Here is a 9528-nt window from a genome sequence, read left to right on the forward strand (position 1 = left end):
AAAGGTATTTAATAACTCTATGCAGAAAACTATGAATTTAGAAGACCTAAATACATGGAGAGGCATTTCATGTTCATAAGTTGAAAAACCCAATGCTTTTATAATATACAGTCTCCTCAGATTGATCTATAGATTCAATGCAATCTGACTGATAATTAGGTCAAGTTTTCAGAGAAACTGACATATTGATTCTGACATTTATATGGAAATACTAAGGTCCTAGGATCTCTAAATTAATACTGACAAGACAGAATATGAGGACTTCCACAACCTGAGTTTGAGGCTCCAGTAGCCAAGCTAATGTACACAAAGCAAGTTTATGCAAATACATGAATAAAACACAACAGGCAGCCTAGACCTAGACTCACACCTATAAGGTTACTTAATGACTGACAAAGCCACCGAAGCTCCAATGGGAAAAGTAAGCGCTTTTCTAGAAATGATGCTGGAAAAATAGATATCCATATGGGGAAGAAAATGAATCTCAATTCCTATCTCAACTCATGCACAAAATTAATTCAATATGGATGATAGACCTAAACATAATACAGCTAAAATTATAGTAGTCCCCCTTTAACCACAGTTTTGCTTTCCATGGTTTCAGTTACCCTCAGCCAACCAAAGGGACATGTGGCTCATCATCCACTCACATCCAAAAAACTAAAAGAGAAATTTTAGAAATAAATAATTCATCCCTTTTTAAAAAAATTTTTTTGAGACAGAATCTCACTCTGTCACCCAGGCTGGAGTGCAATGGCGCAGTCTTGGCTCACTGCAGCCTTGGTCTCTCAGGCTCAAGCAATCCTCCAACCTCAGCCCCCTGAGTATCTGGGACTATAGACATGCACCACCACGCCTGGTTAATTTTTGTATTTTTTGTAAAGATAGGAGTTCGCCATGTTGCCCAGGCTGGTCTTGAACTCCCGGGCTCAAGTGGTCTACTCACATCAGCCTCCCAAAGTGCTGGGATTACTGGTGTGAGCCACTGCACCTGGCCAACTCATACGTTTTAAATTGTGTGCTGTTCTGAGTAGCATGATGAAATCTCAGGCCATCTGTCCCGTCCCTCCTAGGATGTGAATCATCCCTTTGTCTCGTGGATCTACACTGTAGATGCTACCTGCCTATGGGTCATTTAGTAGCCATCTGGGTTATCAGATCAACTGCCGTGACATCACAGTGCTGATGTTCAAGTAACCCTTATTTTAGTTCGTAATGGCCCCAGTGTGCAAGAATAGTGGTGCTGGCATATCATTATAATTGTCTGTTTTATTATAATTTGCTGTAATCTCTTCCTGTGCCTAATTTATAAATTAAACTTTATAATAATATAATATTATATATAATATAATATAATTTATAAATTAAACTTTATAATAATACATATAGGAAAACAACACAGTATATATACAGTTCTTTAGTATCCATGGTTTCAGGTATCCACTGGGGGGTCTTGGAATATGTCCCCAGCAGATAAGCAGGGTATACTATATAGAACTGTCAGGAGAAAAATATTTGAAACCTGAGAATAGGCAAAGATTTCATAGGTCACAATTATAATGATATGCCAGCATCACTTGTCCATGACAAGGTGCTTTACAGAGGCCATTGTCTCCTTTTAGCTAGGCAGTGAAAAGCACATTACAAGTAAAGAAAACAGCAGTTTTCTTAGACTGTTTACTTTGCAATAAAGGAATACCTGAAACTGGGTAATTTATAAAGAACAGGGGTTTATTTGGCTCATGCTTCTGCAGCCTATACAGGAAGCATAGGGCCTCAGAAGCTTCCAATCATGGCAGCAGGTGAAGGGGAGCCAGTATATCACGTAGTGAGAGAGGGAGCAAGAGAGAGAAGGAAGTCTCAGGCTCTTTTAAATAACCAGATCTTGGGCGAATTGGTAGAGCAAGAACTCCCTCATTACTGCAAGGATGGCACCAGGCCACTCAAGAGGGATCCACCCCTGTGATGCAAACACCTCCCACTAGGCCCACCTCCAACATTGGGGTTGCCATTCCAACGTGAGATTTGTAGGGCACAAGTATCCAAACTATATCAATGTCCTCTGAGTGTGTGTGTGTGCACGCGTGAACTCATGGGGTTTCTTATTCTCATAAATTCTGGCAGTCCTCTATTAATTACTTACTTCAGACACAAATTATAACCAGATATGGGACAATATAGTTACTAGGGAAAAAAGTTTACTTTCTAAAAAGAATTGGCATATTCTTTGGTTAATTAAGAGGAGAAAGTATCCAGAACCCTTTTCCAGTTCTCTTTGCAGAAGCGTATAATTGCTTTAAGGGTCTTTCTGGCGAAAAGTGATTAGAGGATACATTCCGCCAAGCACCAGGCTGCTCCCTCGGCATGTCCCCCACTTCTGCTGATGCACTAACGTGTCTCAAATCAGTTGCCAATTGGCAGGTGAATCCTATAAAACTGCAAACCTCTGGTGGAGAAACATTATATAAAAGGAATGTAATTGCAGGAAGCTTTCCACCTGCCCCATTCTAGAGGCATCGCAAAGCAGATTTTGTCTAAAGGCTTACCAGAAAGTGAGAGGGCTCCAAAAGGACTTAGAAGGCCCATCAAGCACAACCTGGCATTGTTCATCCCTAATAATTATATGTGCAGAGTTTTATAGTAGCTCTTCTCCTAGTGGTTCTTTTCATCAGCCTTGTCAATGGAGTGAGAATAAACCTCCCTTCCTGTCTGCCACCCCACCCCACCCCCACTGTGAAGCACCTGGGTTTTGTGTGGGGTTGACTCCCCCGTGCATCCCAGCATCAGCCCGGGCCTGACCAGTCTAGCCCAATCAGGGCATCCCCCACTCCCCTTGCTGTGGTATTTTGTTCAGGGATGAACTCCTGCAGAGAGAGTATGTCTTCATCAGAGACAACTGGCAGGCCTGCCCTGCCGAGGAAAGCCAGCCTGAAGACAAAGCCCACACAGGGCAAGAGAAACTAAGAGAAGTTAAGACAGAACCAGAACCCTGATCAAACCACACCTGGAGCCCACCAAGCATTTGTGTCGCAAAAACTTAGTGAATCCCATCTAATGTTCAAACCTGTGCATTGGATTAGGTTTTTAGTACCCTGCACCCAAAACCTCCTCACTAAAATACTACATATCCTCTGAAATATTAAACAAAAGAGAATGGAAACTACCAACTACTCATGTAATGAGTTTTAGAAATCCTGGCCTTGAAAGATGTTGTGTTCAGGAACGACTATATAACCAACATAGGTTGTATATTTTCATGGGGCAATGACACCTCTAATAATTCACGCATCATTTTCTACTCACGCACTGCTTACTTCTATAAGGATTTCACATGGCTTACAACAAAATACCTATATATTAGGATAATAAAATAAGAGTTAATTATCCAGGGGAAAAGATGGATATATCAGAAAACATCAGTGAAGTATAACTCTTAGGTTGGAACATACAATTTAGCTCCGAGCATTCTGTCAGCCAAGGTTAAAATTATTACAGGTTGAGTATCCCTACTCTGGAAAGCTGAAATCTGAAATGCTCTAAAATCCAAAACTTTTTAAGTACCAACATGATGCTCAAAAGAGACGCTCATTGGAGCATTTCCAATTTTAGATTTTTTGACTTAGGGATGCTGAACAACTAAATGTAATGCAAATATTCCAAAATCTGAAAAATATTGAAATCTGCAACACTTCTGGTTTCAAGCATTTCAGATAAGGGATACTCAACTCAACCTGTATCTTACTATCTGAAAAAGAAAAATATCTATGTTTGCTGGGAGGTATGACGCTTTTTCCTAGCAGTAGTAAGTAAGCTCTAGAGCAGCTGTAGTCAGTTTGGGAAGTTTAGGCCCTTGAATGCTGACATTAGCTGAACCACTTTAGCTTATCTGTATTTAGAGCATCACCAAAAGTGTTGACATTAATCTATGTACTGGCAGTGTTAGAATGTTATCAGATTCTGGCAGAGAAATGTTTACATCAGCACTTGCAAGAAAGTAGGGCGGGGTGCAGTGAGTTTTTCAAGGAAGTACAATGTGATCCCAGCCCCACAGGGTTGTTGTCAGCAGCAGCAGGAGGGCACACTGAGGGCTTGAACTCTGCAGCCCCTCTGTACCCTGAGGACAAACAGGGTAGGGAGGTGGAGAAGCAGAGAGATGAAAAAGGAGGAGGGAAACCATGTGGGGGAGTCCTCAGAAGGGCAGCTAAGCTGCAAAACCCTAAAGTATGCAACTGGAAAGGGAAGGGGTACTTCATTGAGCATGTGCTGGCACAGAAGAGAAATACAGAAACACCGAGAAGTCTTGCCCACCTTAAAAGATAAAAGGGAGATTTGCACACAGTTTAAACAAGGAGAGCATTGTTGGATAACCATAGCTAATCTTTACTGATCACAACACTCCATAAGGTAAGCACTATTATTACCCCTGTTACACTGACAAGAAAAGTAATGTTTATGTGCCCAAAATCTCATGGCTAATCAGTGATGGAGCTAGGGACCTGATCCCAGGTAGTCCAGCTCCAAAGCCAGCTGCTCACTTCTGGTGACTATGACCATCCCATCTACCCTGCTCTGACTGGAGCTGCAACTGTGGGAGACAGTTTCATGTGAGCTGTGACAGCATCCCCAACCCCAGCTTGTGCTGTCTCACATAATCCCACTCTATGCAGCCCAGAAGTGCAAGATAGTGAACTGCCCCAGGTAGCCTTCAACCAATTGGCAATGGAAGCAAATGGAGAAATGCTCTAGGCTCCTGGCCTACAGCAGATGGTTCTGAGAGGCCTTCTGTGTGCTAACTCCAGGCCTGACAGAATCGAGCTCCACCAACTTTAGAGGTAACCTCTGCTTCCTCTCTACCCCATGCTCCCTTCTTTGGGAATCACATCCCAAATAAACTAGCTGAGACATCCTTGTCTCAGGCTCTGCAAGAAAGGAAACTTAAAGCAAGAGAAGGCATCTGCATTATAGGACATCAGAGATCAGAAAGGATCTCATCAAATTCTCAGCAGGTTCATATTTGATTGTTAAAGTCATTGACCACTGTCCTGCTCTGGAGAAAGAAGTTGCAGAGGAGGAAGAGGTTTTCAGGGAAATATTGGCTCAGGGCTCAGCCAAAGGCAAAAGATTTCAATGAACAAATATGTCTGACTGAGCTACATATTTTCTAAACAATGACTTGTCTATTTCAAAGTGAGTCATGACAAGAATCACTGGACCATGGAGTTCTTGGATAATGTGTGGTGTTCTCAGATAAATGTATTTCTTTCTCTCGGGTATTTATATAAAGCTGATAAAATGGGTTTGTTTACTGTTGCTTGCCAGTTTCCCTGTAAGTGGTGCACATGCCCTTGATTTTAAGCTGGAAAAAAGGGACACATTGATTCTTAGGGAATATTCTAATGCTATAGGTATCCACTAAAAAATTAAAAAACAAAAACAGAACCTTTGGTGCCTAGGGAAAAATCTAATCTTTTCCAGGCTCTCCAAGGTGTCACATTTTTACCAGCTCTTTGCAAAGTATAAGTCAATGCATGGCTGAGAAAGAGACTTTCATGATTGCATTATATTTATGCAAATGTATCTAATGGTTATTACAGACCTAGGGGTTTGCCTGAGGACAGCAAATGACTCAACTGCTGCATATGTGGGGCTCCTCTTGAGCAAGGGAAGAGTCCAAGGTTAGTGTTATCCTTTTTGTATCCATCACTCTTACCTCCGAGATTCAACTTATGGACCAAGACATTTTTCAGAAAATAAAGTGCTATTAGAGAATTTCATTTTATGAAACATTTCATGAGAAAATTTTCCAGGAAGGGAAGGCTAGTTACCTCAGTCACAAGAGGGCAAGCTGCTTCCACTGGCACTGGTGTTTCTGAGCTGCTCAGAGGGACAGGGGCCCAGACCTTTGAGGAGAGGGTACTGGCCAGTTGGTGCTGATGTCTCTGAGCTTGGACAAGAGCCCAGTGGGTCTGGAACTCAAACCTCTGAAGCGGAAGTGCTGGGTGGTAGGTGCTGATGTCTCTCAGAGTGACAGGATGAAACTGGCTTTACAAGTGTTGAAAAACAGGATTCAGTCGCTTCCATGGGAGGAACTGTCTCTGCCAGAGTGAAGAATCATTATTGGGCTGAATTTCACAGGAACCACAAGCAGGGAAGGGGAGGCCACAGCAAGTCCCTTCTCCCTCCCGCAGCCTTGCAGTTTCTATCTAGCACCCCCTATTGACAGAGCCTTACTGGAGAAGCAGAAATGGGATTTGCGGAGTAGCAGCCCCAGCCTCACAGAGCAGAGCAGGGCAGGGTGGCTTTGCAGCTAAGAACCAACAGCTTGATAACTGGCACAGCATCCTACGAGACTTTTGGTCTCAGAATACTAAAAATCTAATTTTCAGATATTGCCTGTGCTTGGAATTCAGTGAAAAAGTAAACTATCAAGGAAGCCATGGAGGAACTGTAGTCTCGTATTACGTTGGCAAAGGTACACTCAGCAGACAAAGTTGGCCTTGGATAAAACCTCGAAATGGCGAAGGATGCATCTCCTGCATATTGTAACAACTTCAATATCAGTAAGATAGAAGAGCAGGCTGAAGAAATACATTGTGTTCAAGATGCATAAATAGACAATGTTTGGGAAGTCAGTGGAAAATCAAAGGACACAGAGAAAGGCAGAGAAAAAGAAAAAGGTGGAGTTTTTCTGGCATTTAATAAAGTGTTATGCATTGTGGAAAAAGATTGCTTCTGCTTATAACTCATTGATTAATTTTGAAGAAAAAGCAGCCACGTTAAACTACCTCCAGGTCAGATGCCCCACAGTTTCATTTGCACTTCTGTGAGAAAGAGGCAAACAGGTAATTAGCCCAACCCTTGGAACTCTTCTCAGCCAGCATGGACTCCCAGAGCACTAACCAACCCATTGGGGCTTCCTCCCCATCCTACCCAGAATAAAACCAATTTATTCAGTTCAGTGAGGTCAAAACATGCGGGGAGATTTTGGAAAGATTTCTGTTCAAAGATACAGGGCATGTGGATGTAAAGGATTGACATTTATTTATTTATTTATTTATTTATTTATTTATTTATTTTTATTTTTTGATACCGAGTCTCTCCCTGTCACCCAGGCTGGAGTGCAGTGGCACGATCTTGGCTCACCGCAACCTCCACCTCCCAGGTTCAAGTGATTCTCCTGCCTCAGCCTCCTGAGTAGCTGGGATTACAGGCACGTGCCACCATGCCCAGCTAATTGTCTTTTGTATCTTTAGTAGAGACAGGGTTTCATCATGTTGGCCAGGCTGGTCTCAAACTCCTGACCTCGTGATCTCCCCGCCTCGGCCTACTACAGTGCTGAGATTACAGGGGTGAGCCACCACACCCGGCCAGATTGACGTTTATTAATCCAGAAAACTAGTGTTCAAAGACCCTGGACAGTCGAGGTGGTACTGACTGACAGTCAAGAAAAGAAAATAGGCAAATCCTACGGCAAAGGTCACTCACAGCCAACGCCTAGGAGGGTGAGGACGTTTTGAAAACCCCAGGTTGGCCAGGTATGATGGCTCATGCCTGTAATCCCAGCACTTTGGGAGGCCAAGGCGGGTGGATCACCTGAGAGGTCAGGAGTTCGAGACCAGCCTGGCCAACATAGTGAAACCCTATCTCTACTAAAAAATACAAAAATTAGCTGGGCATGGTGGCATGCACTTGTACACTTGTAGTCTCAGCTACTCGGGAGTCTGAGGCAGGAGAATTGCTTGAACCCAGGAGGCAGAAGTTACAGTGAGCTGAGAACGTGCCACCGCACTCCAGCCTGGGTGACAGAGTGAGACTCCGTCTCAAAAAAAAAAAAAAAGCAAAAAAAAGCCTCAGTATGAAAATTACAGTCCCTCAATGGAAAAAGAGGCTCCCCTGCACTTCTCCCATCCACCTTTCTAGAAGGCTCTCAGCTATACCCATCAGCTCCTGCCTTGCCAGCAGTCCCTGGGGCTGGCAGGCGTGTGGCCTCTGGCGTGGGTATCATACAGGGCCCTTTCCCATCAAGTGATGATAAAGAAAACATTTAGCTTTAGAATAGGAAAATATGGCAAAATTATGGAGTAAATGTACAAGAAAGCACTGAGGGTAAATGCATTATGCACCTTCTAAAAAGTCTCTACGGCTCTGAGTGCCTATGATTACAGCTCTGAACTCTTTTCTGTTGTTCGTTATTGTCACGTTTAACTTGGACCACATGCTTCTGTGCAGTGTAGATGTTTTTCAAGTTCAAAGTGAAAACGATGCCTTTTATCTCTCTTATAAGATTTTTTTTCTAATCATCACCTGGCATTCATGTGCTTCTGGCAACAGACGCTTGCATCCCGCTTTCTTTACTGTTCCATTGTGACTCAGCTGACTAAGTAAATCTCAATGCTTTGTGGGTGCTTTAATTAGCTCTTGGGAAAAAAAAGTAATTATAATGTGGTAATAGTCCTTTAAGAAATCAGATACCTCTAGGATATCTTTCCTCCTCCGAGGTTACAGCCAAAGGGCTAAGGAACCTAGAGGTCTTGGGGGATTGGTGAAGCCCCCCAAATTGTATGCAACACTTTTGTGTATGTAAGGGGTGCTTTTGTGAGAGAAAATGTTGATAGCTTTTATCAGATTATCAGAGAATTTTTTTGACCTCAAAAAGGTTGAGAGCACTGAACCTGTCTAAAATCTGTTGTATGAATGAATAGAAGAAAATAAATACATGAGTGAAATGTTATTCTGTCTGGCTTTGGTTGTTCATTTGATTACGGATCCCCAACCCCCAATCCCTTCACAATGTGTCCCACACACAAATGCGTACACCACATACACGCGCTCACACACACAGCTCCTTTAATCATTAATAGTCATTATTTTTCTGAGCTCTGTCTTTGGGGTTAGGACAATTTCTTTTTAACTACAGACAAGTCAAATGTTGGTCTGCTGACCCCATATTCGCAGGGACTAATAGTAGGGGGAATAATTGGCCTCATCTAACATAATCCCCTTGTCCTTGTGCAAAGAGGCCTCTTGAGCTGTGGGTTGGAGGGAGTTCTCAGAGAAGGCTGGCATCTCCAAGATCAAGTCAGAGGGAGAGGGAACAGCACAGAGGCCTCACAGGTCACTATCTGGAAGGGAAGTGGGTAGAGGGAAAAGGGCATGAGCTGCTGGGCAGCTCTCCACCCTGCTGGGTTGAGCTTCCTCTCAGTTGCCCCTGAACCCAGTTCTAGTGCCTGGCATTTCTACAAACACACATACACACATACACACATACCACTCTCACACAAACCCCACTCATACACCCCACTCACACACCACACACACACACACACACACACACACCAGGTCCCTTACCCACCACTTTCAGAGACCTGCTTTTTTTTTATTTTTTTTTTGAGACAGGGTCTTGCTCTGTTGCCCAGGCTGGAGTACAGTGATGTGAACACAGCTTACCCCAGCCTCAATCTCCTGGGCTCAAGCGATCCTCCTGCCTCAGCCTCTCGAGTAAGTGGGACTACAGGCACGCACCACCGT

General features: G+C 43.3%; 1 non-coding gene across 1 annotated transcript, besides 1 other annotated feature; it reads right to left on the reverse strand.

Annotated features, from left to right (window-relative positions):
• Positions 1 to 932: 932 nt before the first annotated feature.
• Positions 933 to 987, reverse strand: MIR3929 (microRNA 3929). The gene has a single exon (NR_037497.1). It is a non-coding gene; the product is annotated as a microRNA 3929 (primary transcript).
• Positions 9118 to 9277: a silencer, noted in NCBI's record as "fragment chr18:33522236-33522395 (GRCh37/hg19 assembly coordinates)". NCBI's record gives its function as "represses an EF-1alpha promoter that drives an FKBP-Casp9 reporter gene in an ReSE screen in phorbol 12-myristate 13-acetate-treated (for megakaryocytic differentiation) K562 erythroleukemia cells {active_cell/tissue: K562(+PMA)}" and the evidence as "EXISTENCE:reporter gene assay evidence [ECO:0000049][PMID:32094911]".

Source organism: Homo sapiens, chromosome 18, assembly GCF_000001405.40.
Source record: "Homo sapiens chromosome 18, GRCh38.p14 Primary Assembly".
NCBI classification, from domain to species: Eukaryota; Metazoa; Chordata; class Mammalia; order Primates; family Hominidae; genus Homo; species Homo sapiens.